This window comes from Homo sapiens, chromosome 18, assembly GCF_000001405.40.
Source record: "Homo sapiens chromosome 18, GRCh38.p14 Primary Assembly".
In the NCBI taxonomy this organism is placed as follows: domain Eukaryota; kingdom Metazoa; phylum Chordata; class Mammalia; order Primates; family Hominidae; genus Homo; species Homo sapiens.
The window spans coordinates 33869428-33885947 of NC_000018.10; the positions used below are offsets into that span (position 1 = coordinate 33869428).

At 35.5% G+C, this 16520-nt stretch overlaps 1 protein-coding gene across 30 annotated transcripts in view; it reads right to left on the minus strand.

Moving 5' to 3' along the window:
- Positions 1 to 16520, minus strand: part of NOL4 (nucleolar protein 4) — a 373814-nt gene that overhangs the window by 18328 nt on the left and 338966 nt on the right. For 29 of the 30 annotated variants that reach the window (XM_047437902.1, XM_047437901.1, NM_001384470.1 and 26 more), the window contains one exon: positions 13817 to 13997. The exons of the other annotated variant lie outside the window; for it this stretch is intronic. In XM_047437902.1, coding sequence (XP_047293858.1) covers positions 13817 to 13997 — 181 coding nt within the window. The remainder of the gene's footprint in view (positions 1 to 13816; positions 13998 to 16520) is intronic. 30 annotated transcript variants of the gene reach the window in all.

Sequence of the window (16520 nt, forward strand, 5' to 3'; positions counted from 1 at the left end):
CTGCTACCTCTAGAGTATCCTTTTTGCTCTTAGAGTCTAATAATTTAAGGTAAGGAAGAGAAAACCAGGCTCTAAGTTTGTAAATGAATAAATGATGGAAGTCTAGCAAATAGTAGACTATAATTAAGTTGAATCACTAAACTAAACCAAAGGTCAGCAAGCATGGATATTCTGCATATTTAAGAAATCACAGTTAATCTACAATCATCCAACCATAAACATAAGATATTTTTTATGTTATGAAACTGTAACTCATATGAAATATAGAGTATTTACACTGAAATACCTACTTCTTTTATACTATTAGTCAATAAGCCATGAAGGCAAAATTACAATTTTAAGGAATAGAAAATTTAAAGAATCTGTACTTAGATGTAGAACACATGTGTCTGACTTCTCTTAGTGATTTCTTATCAAATATTTACATTGCTTCATCAAACATCCAGAGGTTTAAAAATAAAGCACAATCATTTTCGTGAACCTAGACAGCATAATTTCTTGTATATGAAGAAAGGCAGGGTGGATGGATTCCCATTAATGTTAATGCCTGTCTCCTCATTTCTCACCTTTGTTATTAAGTTGCTTAGAAAGCAAATTAGTATTTTATTCAAATTTATTTTTTAAATGGCATAAATTGTATGTATTTATCATGAACAACATGAGGTTTTGAAGTACACATACATCATGGAATGGTTAAATCTAGCTAATTAACAAAAGCATTACCTCACCTAGTTATTTTGTAGTGAGAACATTTTACTTCTACTCACTTAGCAGTTTTCAAGAAGGGCATTATATGAAGTGAAATAAACCAGGAACAAAAAGACAGATGCTGCATGATCTCACTCATATGTGGAATCCAAAGAATTTGTTCACATAGTAGAGAGTGGAATGGTGGTTGCCAGAGGCTGGGGTGAATAGGGAGTAGGGAATATTGTGGAGATGTTGGCAAAAGAGTGCAAGTTTACAGTTAGATTAGAGGAGTAAGTTCAAGAAATCTACTGTATGGCATAGTTAATGCTGATATATTATATTCCTGAAAAAAACCAATTAATATTTTACAAGAAACAGAAGAAATCATGGGAGCAGACCACAGATGGACAGAGTGGTGCATGAAGAATGGCTTTTAAAGGATGTAAACATGGAGAGCTGAGTATATTATAAATGTACGAAAGATATGTCTGATTTGAAAAAACACAATGAAAATAAACATAGTATGACCTCCTTCACAATTATGGATAAACTGTGCTCATAAATATGCTTTCAGGAATAAAATGTAAAAAAAAAATTCTTGTAATATTGTCCCAAATAACACAAAAGACATAATAACCTATATCACCTGAAATAGGCACCAACAAAAAAAATCCTAAATTCAGAAGACTGTACAAGCTACTTTTAGATCCATTCAGAACACACAAGAGGATTATATTTCCTAATGGATTTAAATTATAAGAAATAATTTGTTTCCCTCCGTGGCCATTTAGATATTGGCCAGAATGTTCGTCAATCACACATTTAATTTTGTAATCAGTTTTAATTCTGAATTTTAGTGAGTGGACCAAGCAACAACTCAGGAGGCAAAACTTGCACTGTGTGGACTCACATTCAAATGTATCTACTTCCACTAGTTCTAGCAATTGTTCGTGGATGAAAAAAGGGTTTACAGAAAAAACATTTTTAAGTGAGTTAAGAGCCAAATGACATTTAAAAATTAACTTGTGCCTTGAAATCACAAAAGAAGATGTTAGCATAATAATTGTCATCATGCTCAAAGGTTGAAAAGTTTATGAAGAGGGAAAAACGAAGACACATTTAGCATGACTACACTCTTGGAATGATTCAAGTAGACAGACCCAAGCTCTTTGGTGGAGGTAGGCAAATGCAAACAAGCTTGGTTCCTATTTCTGGAAATTCCATCAGTACCCGAGCCCAGGAAAGGGTAATGTGGACAATGGCTGGCTCAATGTCCATATAAAGAGTGAGATTTCTGACTTCCTGAAAAAGCAGGACATTCTGAGATCCCCAGGAGAACCCCTTCCTAAGTGGCAGAGGGCTGGTGAGACCAGTGATATTTAACTGGTTTGTTCAGATAGCTCCCCAGAGGATGTGTCAAAGTTCAAAGGAGGCTGTTTAAAGAAAACAACCCAAGCCAACCGTAATGAGCCCATGTCACCTGGAAAGACCCTAAACAGTTTACTAGCAGACTCAAGAAGGAAGGTCCCAGGATACTTTTCATTCCTTCCCTTCAGTGAGTAGGCACACCACAAAATTCCCAAGAGGCTCTTAAGAGTATATAAATATCCATTTTACTGTACAGTTAGAGAACAGGCTTTTAGGAAGCTGCTGCCAGAAAAGCCTGATCAATGTTGAACTATAAAACCAATTACAAGTGCTGGATAGTTCAGGGAACACACAGGGTCACTCACCTCCCTTTTCAGGGCCTTTCTTGGAGGCTTTCTGCCCTGCAGTAAACCAGTGAAAGATTTGAGGGCTCAGCCAGATAAACTGAAAGCTGCTTAATTATATTCGCAGATAATTTTTCACACAATTTTACTTTCAATTTTTCAGCAAATGATTAACATAATTGTAAATCATCAAAATTTACAAATAAGAATCATCTCTCTGAATCTATGTATCTCAATATATATCTTTATAAATAATTCACAATATCAATTAAATTATAGGTCATTATCATACTATTTGTGGGAAATCTGGAAACAAAGAATAAGCTCAGTGTCAAAAATGTGGTCACATTTCAAATACCTTGAGTTTAAGCTTGCTTTCCTTAAACATTACACAGTTTCAAATTCTGTCACAATTAAATTCTTTTAAAATTTGTTTTGTTTCTAGTTTTTAAGTAATCCTAGCCTATGCCAAAGTGGTTTTCAATGCCTACATTATAACTCACACTGGGATTAGTTCTTCTCAGAACCTTAACATGACCGGATGTTATTTAAAAGCCAGGCAGTTTGAACTAAAAACATTACTATTTAAGAATCAGCATTAAGTTTCTATAAGGTTGTTCATTGACCCCATTTATCTCATTGAGGAGTGAATGATATATGATAAATGATTAAATACAAAGAACCTGATGGAATAGACATAGAAAAGGTATTCTGCAATGACAAAATGACCCAAAGGCCAGTGCAATAATGTGAATAAGGTGAGAAGAGTTGAGTTTGGAATCAGTACTGTCCAACTGAAACTTCTGTGATGATGGGAATGTTTCTTTGTGTTGTTAAATCAGTAGGCTCTCACTATTTTGCCTATTGAAAACTTGAAATAGATCCCGGTGGAGGAACTAAATTATGAATTTTGTTTAATTTCAATAGCCACATATGGATAGTGGCTATAATGTTAGATGGCACAGGCCTACATAAAATTATATTTGAAAGAAAGAGAAAACTATCAAAATATGGATACAAATTAGTATTTAAAATAGGAAAATACTTTAAGTCAGGTCATCAAGGAAACAGATGGGAGAGCTTCAGCAAGCTGCACACTGGCAGAAAAAATTCCTAAATATAACACATTGTTTCTTTTATAACCAAAGTTTCACTGTGTGCTGCAGAATGTGCTTTGACAACTCACTCAGGTTTCATTGGACCTCCTTGGATATATAATAACTGCATAATTCCAGTTACGTTTACTTCAATTAGATCACACAGTCACTTTTCTTCACATAATATGTTACTACCACGCAGATCTTCCAATTGTGTAAAGGTCATACAAATTCACCGTGGGGGATTGCTTAGCTTCTGTGAATTACTTTTAGGCTATACTCTATAAAATTATCTACAAAGTTTTACATAATAGACTTTATGTGTTTTTCACACAAAAGAAACATCCAGCTGGTCTCCTGGAGCAGGATGACAATGGTTCCCTCCCCACACATCTGCACTACATCTTTGCATATGGTTAGTGAGCCAGAACAAGCTATTAAGAGTGTAAGCTAAAGAAGAAAAGCACATTTTCCTATGACCCTGGTTAATTATGGTAAACATGTCTTTCCTGAACTAGGGGTTTAAGCTTAATAGATTTCAAAGCAGAATTTATGTATTTCAAGATATTTCTCTAAAACGTTTGATATGAAACATTTCCCTTCTTCCAATGTTGTGCTCTTCAGGATATTAAGAGAAAAAGAGAACAAACTTTAAGAAGACATCCTTAACTTCAAGTGATTATCTCCATGGTCAACTGGATTTAGTCAAGATCCCTTAAGAGGCATAATATTTTATTGAAGCAATTTCTTTCACTCAGTCATTCATCTATCCATTTAATATTTATTGAACACTCATATAAGGTAGTTACCTACTAACACTTGGTAGTAAGACAGTTTTAAAAATGTCACCTTGCCTGCCCTTGTGCATAGTCTATAGAAAGCAGCACATAATGGACAGGTAAAATAATAAGAAATACGCTTAGAATATCATGGGAACATATTGGAAGAAAATTTAGCCAGAAAATTAGTGAGGTAAACAGAAACGGTATCTTAGGGAACATAATAGCTGATATGAGTCAGATGCAAGGGAGGGTATCTCTGCATGAGATAACCCCAGAGACAGGTAATAGTATGCACGGGGATGAAGAATTCATTTTGTTAAATCAAATATTAGATTTCTCTGGATGTCTAGATCATGGTAGAGAACTGGATACAAAATCTGAAACTTAGGGGAAAGATTGGGGTTGTTATGCACATTTGGGAGTATTTTCTAGTTGAAATTGTAAGAGCTATGAGTTCTATCTTGGTCATTATGCAGAACACAAGGATTAAAGGGAAAAGTGTGGGATGTTGAGAGAATCCAAGCATGAAGGGGCATGAGTACAAAAGAAATTCTAGAAAGGCAGCAAAAGAAAAATTATCTGAGAAGCACAAGGTACCATGAAATTGTATTTCAAGAATTTATGTATTTCAAGATATTTCTCTAAAATGTTTGATATGAAACATTCTTCTTCTTCCAATATTGTGCTCCTTAGGGTATTAAGAGAAAAAGAGAACATACTTTAAGAAGACATCCTTAACTCCAACTGATTATTCCCATACTCATTTGGATACAGTGAAGATCCCCTAAGAGGCTAATAAGCATAGTTGCCAACAGGGTGGACATTTCAACATTCTAATCATCAAGATTCAAATATGCTTAAGAAATCTAGTCAAGTAAAGAGCAAAAATCCATCTTTTGTTTGGCAATAAGTAGAGTCACTATAAACTTAGCCAGGCCAGTTTCAGCAAAATGGTGGGGAGAAGCTGGTTATCGTGGAATGAAAAGTAAAAGGGAGGTAAGAAGTGAAGGCAGTGAATGAATAAAAATGCTCCTTTGAACATTTCAGATGAAAAATATGTTTCAGAATGCTGGTTTCTGGCACTATCAACACACACAGCCAGTCACACCACTGTAAACCAGTTCTAGTGTGATGGTGAATCTTATGGCCAAGTTTCCTTAGGCTCATAACTAAAGGACCTGAGCTGAGGAATCATTAAAGACAAAACCCCAAATATTAATGAAGAGCAAGGAAGCTAATGAATGTTAAGAGTTGGGAAAACTAGAAATTGCCATACAAATGTTAGTGATTATGGTCATTATTACTACAATTTGGTCTTGATAGATTTTGGTCTGTATATCAGCCCAGTTTATAACAGAGTTGAAAAACAAATTGAAAAGTCTCCCCCCACGGAGTTTGTAGAGCAGAAACATCAGTAGTTAACTTATGCATTATGCATATAATTTAGACTCAAGAGATCCAATGAATAACTGCAGTGAACTACAATTGCCCTCTTTAGACAGCTCAATGTGAACTTCCTGATAGAAAGAAAGCAGTCCAAAGTCCTATGTAAATGGTGTGATAATAACAGGAGGATTGGCTGCTTGCTTGCTCCTCATTTCAGTTGGATAATTTGAATAAATTCTTTATACAGATTGTAACTGCTGTCATTTTGATAATTCTCCAACTTGAAAATTTGGATTGTTGGGTGCAGCCCCTTGCCAGCTCCAAACAAATGGAGGTTGGCTAATGATGGATTTGAAGGGCATCCTGGCATCATTGGTAGACAGAATATTTCCTTGCTATGAAGTCTCCAATCGGGCAAGATTTTCTATTGCTATTAAACAGGAGTTTATAAAACTCTAAAACTACTGTAGACCCATAAACTGATGAATGAACTGGAGCCTTCCTCTTTCACCCACAGAATCCCCAAGTTCAGTTTAATCATTCTCCTTGCCTCCAATTGCTTTGATTTATCTAAGATTAACCCTTCCCTCCTGCCATCCAAGGTACATAATTATCTCTGTAGCCTTTTTCCTTTTGATATCATTCTATTTTTTCTAAATATTCACTTATTAAGCAAATATTATTGAGCACTTGCTATATGTCTGACCTTACTTAGAGGGATATAACAGTGAACAAGATGAAGTTTCTGCTTTCAAGGAATGCATATGTATAATGGGAAATTTTCTTGAAAATGTATCTCTCAATTCAATAAGATAGGTATTAGAATAAAGACACATGCAGGGGAGTGATCAATCTTCCAAAGAGTGGAAGGATGATGAGGTAGAATAACGGAGTATTTAATCAGAGTCCTAAAGGATTTTGACATATAGACAAGAAGAGGAAGAATATATCTCTTTTTGTTTACTTGATGTCATTGATTCTGCCTTATCCAACTTCGCTTCTCTTAAAGTTACAAAGATTTGAACATGAGAACTCCAAAATATTTAAATCAAATTCAAATGCTGCTAAGGTATGCTCTTTTATTCTTCTGCCTATAGATTTGTCTTGAACATGATATAATCTGCATGGATAGTGTTATTTTAATGACATTTGTTTTAAAGGTTCTGGAAACATCATTTTCCCTTCAATCTTTGCACTCCTAATTCTATTGCCAACCTGCATCATACTTCACAATTTCTCCAGAGAGTGGCTTGAATTCTGATTGTTTTCACCTATTTTATAAATTAAATCATATGTAAGGTTAGTTCTACTTGATCTCTTAGAAGTTACTACTCCCTTCCACACATTTCAGATCTCTACAAATCCTAAACTCAAGAATTCTCAAACTGAGATTAACTGGAGTTGTCATCCATCAGCTATGAGGCTGGCATCTAATATAATGCTAATCTTCTGTTATGTCCTTTTTAGCTCTCAAGATTTATGCATATGTATGTAGTTTCTTTCTCCAGAGCTCCAAAACTGTTACAGGGAATGACTATTTTGATGTCTTAAAGATGAAGAAATGATAGATATGATAATGCCATTTTAAAAAGTCAGAACATTTGGAATTCCCAGAATTTATGAAGAAAGTACACAAATAAAGGACATTGTGGGCCCAATCAATCTAGCTGCCTTTCTGTGATTAAAACAAGCAAAAACTAAACAAACAAAAGTAAAAGAGCAGGAGACAATATCATTGTTACAGGTAGTATACATTTTTTGGGTGAAGAAAACGAAACTGGTATTTAGAGTTGATACGTAACAAGGGAAACATCACTTCCCTTGCTACCACTACATTGCTAGAATCCTTTCTCAAATATACACTAGACAAATTCTCTTTGGTTTGAGACTAAAGCTTTTGTTTGCCAAGATTAGTGTTTTGATCTTTGTTGTTGTTATTGCTGTTTTTTATTTAAATTCAGCTACACTCAGCCCAAAGTCATTGCTCAAAGAAATTCACATCATTTTTAATTTTCTGCATGCCATACTGATTAATCTGTTACTTTTGTTTCATTTGAAGTGTACACAGACAGCCTGAAGTGTTTGATGTTATTGGTTGCTGTGTCCTTGAGATATCATCATCTCATCATATAAGAACCAAAGCAGGAAGACTGCATGAGCCCAGGAGTTCAAGACCAGCTTGGGCAACATAGTGATATCCTGTCTCAAAAAATAATTAAAAAAATCAAATTAAAAATTAGCCAGGTGTGGCAGTGAGCACTTATAGTCCCAGCTACTCAGACGACTGAGGTGGAAGCATTGCAGTTGCACCCCAGCCTAGGTAACACAGGGAGACCTTGCCTTAAAAAAAAAAAAAAAAAAAAAAGAGCCAAGGCATGAATTAACTAAACAACTCCAAAATCATTATACATGACCTTGAGCAAGTCACATAAATTTCCAGCCCTGTTTCTTTCTTTGTGGTCTTTACACAATGAAGTGGTTGCTATCAAATGATTTCTCATGTCCCTTTAGCCTCTGTCATTTTATGATAGGAAAGTTTTTGGGGAGAAACATACAGAAAAAATAGACCTCAACATAGTACTACAGCATGTATATCCAAACTGTGCATTTATAAAACATGCTTTCTAAACACTTATATGCCTGCATACCTGGGATTTATACCAAATTTCCTATGTGGCTTTTGGGCACCACTGAAAAATATAATTGAGGAATAGGTACCAATGTTGTGTGATTGTGTGTGTGTGTGTGTGTGTGTGTGCGCTATCATACATGCTTCAGAGGTTAAATTGAGGATACTATGAGAGTGTATATCTATACTTCATCTAGACTTGGAGTTCTGGATTTAAAAAAGGGTGTTCAATGAATGAGGAGAGAGTGGGGGAGAAGCAGGTGAAAGAAAACTTCAGGTGAGTAGACCTTGAAGCTGGAAGAGCTGGCTCACATCCTTTCCCTAAGAACAATGAAAGCCCATAGAAGGTTTTAGATGGTGAAGTGACGTGATCAGATTTGCCTTTTCTTAAAAATTATTTTGGTTCCTCTATGGAGAATTGGTTGAAAGTCAGGAAGGACTTTGGGAGCCCTGTTCATTAACAATGCATAACAAAACTTTCTTTTGGATTTGTTATCAATTTTTACCCAGGATTGGTAGCTGCCCCAGAGTGCTCTCTTTTCTTCTCAAAATACTCTTTCAAAGTGTTCTCACTTGTGTATTATTCTTTTCCTTATTTGTATACGTTATCTTTCTTACCACTGGTAGCTCTCTGCCTTTAATGAAAAAGCAATGCTTTCCTCTGGCTTACTAAGTAAATTAAAAGGGCAAAGTGGGTCATGAAGTGTTTGTAGTCCCACAGTACCATGTGCTTAGAAAAGTTCCATGCTTAGGTTAATTCTCTACAGTCAATGCCTTAAATTTTTAAGTTTTAAACAAGAGGCTTGATGTTTTCATTTTGCATTGAGCCCCCAAAACTATCTAGCTATATATGAAACATACTTCCAGCACTGTAAACTAAGTGATTTCCTAGAGTATAAACTCAGACTAATAATGTAATTTCTCCCAAAATATAAGCTCACCCAGCCTAATTCAAAATTTTAAATTCAAGTTGGCCATGGTTTCCAAGCATTTCCGGGAAAAGGAGATATATTTTGTGTTTTTTAAAAAACAAAAAAATACATCGGAAGTTCCTACTGGTACTACCAATTCAAATACAAGACTACGGAGTTTTTGTTTAAATGTACTGATTTTACATCTGTGTCTACTTTGACCCGTGCTGAAAATGCTAGCTTTCACTGACACCCACATAATTGGCAATTTGCTTTTAACCACAATATATAGACAACAGTCCCCAAATAATAATATGATTACTGAAAATACTTTAAGGTTTAATCACTGGCTTCAAACTTATGGAGTCAAATTATGATTTTTGGAATCACTTGGACGAGTTCCTCTCTATGTGAGGCTATGCCAACAACTCGTTAAACAATTGAAGTTTATTTGCATCACTTTTCTTTTAATTTGAAGAATTTAAAAAAACAGTTTAATAGTTACATAAATATATATAGTTCCAAAGTTAAATATATGAAACAGTGTAAAAACCAAACACATTAGGAATATTCTCGCTTTTATTCCTGCCCCTTATACTGTTTTCTCCCCACTGCCACATCTACATAAACTTTTTTTAAAAAGTTATAGTTTATGCATCCAATAGTATAAATCCTTATTCCATGAATGTTGGCATTCTATAAGTACTTTTCACTACCTGGAGATCACTATATAATATTATATAAAGGTATTTCCTGGCTGGGCATGGTGGCTTACACCTGTAAACCCAGAAGTTTGGGAGACGAAGGTGGGCACATCACTTGAGATCAGGAGTTCAAGACCAGCCTGGGCAACATGGTAAAAACTTTGTCTCTGCTAAAAATAAAAATAAAAATAAATTAGCCCAGCATGGAGGCATGCACCTGTAGTACCAACTACTCTGGAGGCTGAGATGGGAGGATCACTTGAGCCTGGGAGGCAGAGGTAGCAGTGAGCCAAGGGCACACCACTACACTCCAGCCTGGGCAACAGAGTGAAACCCTGTCCTAAAAATAAAAAAGATAGTTCCTATTACTATTTATACTCTTTTGTTTGGATGAGCTATAATTTAATCAGTCAGCCATGTATTGCTGGGCACTTTTATTGGCAACTTTTTTTTTTTGCATTTATAAATGACAGTGCACTAAATAGCCTTGAGCATATCTCTTTCTGTAACTTTGTCAGTGGGTCTTTGAAATAGGTTCCTAAGAGAGAGATTGCTGGGTCAAATGGTAAATGTACATTCATTTTTTCTATTAATATATACTGTCAAATTCCACTCTAACTTTTTGCATTGAGCTAGTCATGATAGTACCTTTTTAACCACAGTCTTGTTAAAAAAATTCTGTTAAGCATTTGGATTTTTACTAAACCGATGGGTAGAAATTGCATCTCTCTTATCAGGAGTGACTGAGGTTGAACAACTTTATAAATATTTAAAGAACATTTGCACTGTCTTTCTGTGAATTATGTGTTTCTTTTCTAGTATTTTTATCATATGATTTTGGGTATAGTTTTTCTTTATAGAAGACCTTTATATATTGACCTGCTAATTCTTTGTGGTAGAGTTAGCTAATACATTTTCCAGTTATCTTTTTACTTTTTTATGGTGTTTTTGTCATGCAAAAGGGGTCTGTGTGTGTGTGTGTGTGTGTGTGTGTGTGTGTGTAATGAAACTTTTCTCCTGGATTTAAAGTATAGTTAGGAAAGTTTTTCTTACCACCCAATTATAAGAACACTATCCATGTATTTTTTCCTCATACATGCATAGCTTTATATTATACAGTTAAATTTCTGACTTTAGACTCCTTTAGACTTCAACCTGGTATATAAGTTCAGAAAATTCCTAAAAATTTACCAACCAAGAGTCAGTACAGGCTTGATCCAGTACAACACTGCTGACCGAGCATGCCATTGACATTGACAAACTATCTTCTGGAGACCCATGCGTCCTTTCCATGTGTTGTTTCATTTTGTATGTTCTTAGTTATGACTGTGTATGTTTCATGAAGTTGGAGAAATTCCTGGCCCCTCAAATTTTCCAAATCAAAAGCCTCTTTGAACACGGAAATAATGTGCATTACAGCATTGGTGGCAGAATGGATCACTATTTAGAAGAAAAGCATTTGCTATTTCTCTAGTTGAGTTTTTTTTTTTTAGTATAAACAGCAATCATTCAGTTATATAATAGTGCTGCCACTTTCAGAGACAGCAACAAAAGCGGGAGACACCCATGTAGAGAGACAATCATTATGTATTAAATGGCCTTGTTTTTATTAATAGCAGATTCTCACGGACTATTCTCATCACAGTCTATCCATTTTCTTCTCTCAAGTTTAAAAAATTTACCACCACCTCCCCTCACCAAAAGAAAACAAAACAAAACAAAGCAAAAAAACACAATCTCACATCCCTTGTAAGTTGGATTCCTAGGTATTTTATTCTCTTTGAAGCAATTGTGAATGGGAGTTCACTCATGATTTGGCTCTCTGTTTGTCTGTTGCTGGTGTATAAGAATGCTTGTGATTTTTGTACATTGATTTTGTATCCTGAGACTTTGCTGAAGTTGCTTATCAGCTTAAGGAGATTTTGGGCTGAGACAATGGGGTTTTCTAGATATACAATCATGTCGTCTGCAAACAGGGACAATTTGACTTCCTCTTTTCCTAATTGAATACCCTTTATTTCCTTCTCCTGCCTAATTGCCCTGGCCAGAACTTCCAACACTATGTTGAATAGGAGTGGTGAGAGAGGGCATCCCTGTCTTGTGCCAGTTTTCAAAGGGAATGCTTCCAGTTTTTGCCCATTCAGTATGATATTGGCTGTGGATGTGAAGGACCTCTTCAAGGAGAACTACAAACCACTGCTCAAGGAAATAAAAGAGGATACAAACAAATGGAAGAACATTCCATGCTCATGGGTAGGAAGAATCAATATCGTGAAAATGGCCATACTGCCCAAGGTAATTTACAGATTCAATGCCATCCCCATCAAGCTACCAATGCCTTTCTTCACAGAATTGGAACAAACTACTTTAAAGTTCATATGGAACCAAAAACGAGCCCGCATTGCCAGGTCAATCCTAAGCCAAAAGAACAAAGCTGGAGGCATCATGCTACCTGACTTCAAACTATACTACAAGGCTACAGTAACCAAAACAGCATGGTACTGGTACCAAAACAGAGATATAGATCAATGGAACAGAACAGAGCCCTCAGAAATAAAGCCGCATATCTACAACTATCTGATCTTTGACAAACCTGAGAAAAACAAGCAATGGGGAAAGGATTCCCTATTTAATAAATGTTGCTGGGAAAACTGGCTAGCCATATGTAGAAAGCTGAAACTGGATCTCTTCCTTACACCTTACACAAAAATAAATTCAAGATGGATTAAAGACTTAAACGTTAGACCTAAAACCATAAAAACCCTAGAAGAAAACCTAGGCATTACCATTCAGGACATAGGCATGGACAAGGACTTCATGTCTAAAACACCAAAAGCAATGGCAACAAAAGCCAAAGTTGACAAATGGGATCTAATTAAACTAAAGAGCTTCTGCACAGCAAAAGAAACTACCATCAGAGTGAACAGGCAGCCTACAAAATGGGAGAAAATTTTTGCAACCTACTCATCTGACAAAGGGCTAATATCCAGAATCTACAATGAACTCAAACAAATTTACAAGAAAAAAACAAACAACCCCACCAAAAAGTGGGTGAAGGACATGAACAGACACTTCTCAAAAGAAGACATTTATGCAGCCAAAAAACACATGAAAAAATGCTCATCATCACTGGCCATCAGAGAAATGCAAATCACAACCACAATGAGATACCATCTCACACCAGTTAGAATGGCAATCATTAAAAAGTCAGGAAACAACAGGTGCTGGAGAGGATGTGGAGAAATAGGAACACTTTTACACTGTTGGTGGGACTGTAAACTAGTTCAACCATTGTGGAAGTCAGTGTGGCGATTCCTCAGGGATCTAGAACTGGAAATACCATTTGACCCAGCAATCCCATTACTGGGTATATACCCAAAGGACTATAAATCATGCTGCTATAAAGACACATGCACACGTATGTTTATTGCGGCACTGTTCACAATAGCAAAGAATTGGAACCAACCCAAATGTCCAACAATGATAGACTGGATTAAGAAAATGTGGCACATATACACCATGGAATACTATGCAGCCATAAAAAATGATGAGTTCATGTCCTTTGTAGGGACATGGATGAAATTGGAAAACATCATTCTCAGTAAACTATCGCAAGAACAAAAAACCAAACACCGCATATTCTCATTCATAGGTGGGAATTGAACAATGAGAACACATGGACACAGGAAGGGGAATATCACACTCTGGGGACTGTTGTGGGGTGGAGGGAGGGGGGAGCGATAGCATTGGGAGATATCCCTAATGCTAGATGATGAGTTAGTGGGTGCAGCGCACCAGCATGGCACATGTATACATATGTAACTAACCTGCGCAATGTGCACATGTACCCTAAAACTTAAAGTATAATAATTAAAAAAAAAACACAATCTATGATAAATACTCACCACTGCTGGAAGCATCATTCAGATTTAGCAGACCCCCTCCTAGCCCTCTGTAACTATGGTAACTATAGGTCCCATTTCCATTGATGTACAGCACGTCCTGTGAGCCTGGAACAGCTGATGTTGAGTAAGTGGCCTGGGTCGCCTCTGGTTTACACTGTTTGTCAGCTGGAGCAGACTCATCCTGCAAGGACAGACAGCATTCCATTATTTATCACCTCACAGTGCTATTTCACCTTGAACAGGACTACCTTATTGTTATCTAAATACCTGCATTGAATAAGAAAAAATATATAGTGAATGTTAAGTAAGCACAGATGCACATTTTCAACATCTTTGCTAAAAACTAAAATTAGGAAATCAAAATAACAATGTGGGCAGATTGGAGATGGAACAATTGACAGTTTTCAATTGAATATAAAATGACATGAAGAAAGTTACTCACAATAACCAAGTGGTGGAAGAAGCCTAAACATCTCTTGACAGATAAATGAATAAAGAAAATATGGTACATACATAAAATAGAATACTATACAGCTTCAAAATGAAAGAAACCCTGTCATACTACAGCATGGATGAACTTAAGGACATTGTGCAAAGTGATATAAGCCAACCACAAAAAAACAAATATTGTGTGATGCCACTTATAAGGTATCAAAAGTAATCAAAGACAAAGAAACATAAAGTAGAATGAGGGTTTTCAGCACTTGGGGAGGAGCTACTGGGGAGTCTTCTAAAGGTATAGGGTTTCCGTCATGAAAGGGTGGAGGTGGGTTGGTTCTGAGCACTACTGCACAACCATGTGGATGTGGCTGACAATATTGTACTGCACACTTGGAAAATGTTGGAAGGGTAATTTTTATGTTAGAATTGCTTAAAATAACTTGCTAGGCTTTAAAAATTAAATGAAGAGATATTACAATGGAAAATAAATATTTAATAAAAGTTGGGTTCTTGAAATCCATTTTGCATCCTTTTATCTTCCTTTCTCTCCTTCTCTGTTGTCTCTCTCTTCCTCTGTGTATGTGTGTGTGTGTCTTTCTCTTTTTATTATTTTGTTTATAACAAAATTTGAGTGCCGACTCCAAGCTGATTCCATTACATGCGTTATAACAGACTGACAAGGATGTGAATACATCCAAACCTTTCAGTTTTTTATTTGTTTGCTCATTTTTAAGCTACGCTAGTGTTTAAAAAATTTTCTTCAATCATTCTAATCATGTCAAACTGTGAGGAAATAAAACGTTTAAATTGCAATAAACTGTATATATTTTCAATAGCAATACAGATTGAATTCCCCTTCAGCTGTGAATTTATAAGACTTAAAATATATACATATATGAATTCACTTTCCTTCTGCATTCTTCATCTTTTTTTTTTTTTACTTTTTGTTAATAGGAAAGAATTATAAAGAGATTTCTAGGGAATTCTTAGGAGAGTTTTTTGTCACAATCAGAAGTATTTTGCAGCTTTTAAATGTTGAGTATGTGGTTAATGGAACAAGTAAATTTCAAATACATTTTTTGTGGCCCCAAAGGGGTGAAAACGAGGAAATATGAAATTAGTTTGCTCTATTGAAACAGTAGTACTGTTGTATTGAGAATACTATGACCATCTATATTGTGAAATTATTGCCGTGACTATCAGCATAACACAGTTATGGCTTTGCTCTTGTTCATCAAACTGAATCAAATCTAACTGACCCATTCAACTCTGACCATTATACTCAGCTGTACACATGAGACACATAATTTATAGGCTTTCAAATATTTTCATTTATAGTAAGACTATAAAATAAACAGCAAAATATCTCAAAGCAAATTGAAGTAAAAATAAGAAAAAAATTGAAAGGAAAACATGGGACAATATTTTAAAAACTTGAATGTTGATATAAATTTATTTTCCAAGCATTACTTTTTTTAAAAAAAATCATTCCTCTGAGATATATTTAATGCAAACATTAATTGACTGAAATTGGTGTATGAACTAGAATGTCTAATTGTAATTTAAACTCTCGCTATTTAAATCATAGAAATCCCAATACCCCACAAGCACAGGCAACGAAGGCAAAAATGGACAAACAGGATCACATCAAGTGAAAACCTTCTGCACAGCAAAGGATACAATCAACAAAGTGAAGAGACAACCCACAGAATGGGAGAAAATGTCTGCAAACTACCCATCTGACCAGGGTTTAATAACCAGAATATATAAAGAGCTCAAACAACTAGGGAAGAAATCTAATAATCTAATTAAAAAATGAGCAAAAGAGTTGAATAGACATTTCTGAAAAGACAACATACAGATGGAAAACAGGCTTATGAAAAGGTGCTCAACATCATTGATGATCAGAGAACTATAAATCAAAACTACAGTGAGGTATCATCTCGCCCCAGTTAAAATGACTTATATCAAAAAGACAGGAAATAATCAATGCTGGTGAGGGTGTGGGGAAAAGGGAACCCTTGTACACTGTTGGTGGGAATGTAAATTAGTACAACCAATATGGAGAACAGTTTGGAGGTTCCTCAAAAATCTAAAAATTGCACTACCATCTGATCCAGCAATCCGACTGTGGGTTATCTATCCAAAAGAAAGAAAATCAATTTATCAAAGATGTAGCTGCATTCCTATGTTTGTTGCAACACTGTTTACAATAGCTAAGATTTGGAAGCAACCTCTGTCCATCAAAGGATGAATGAATACA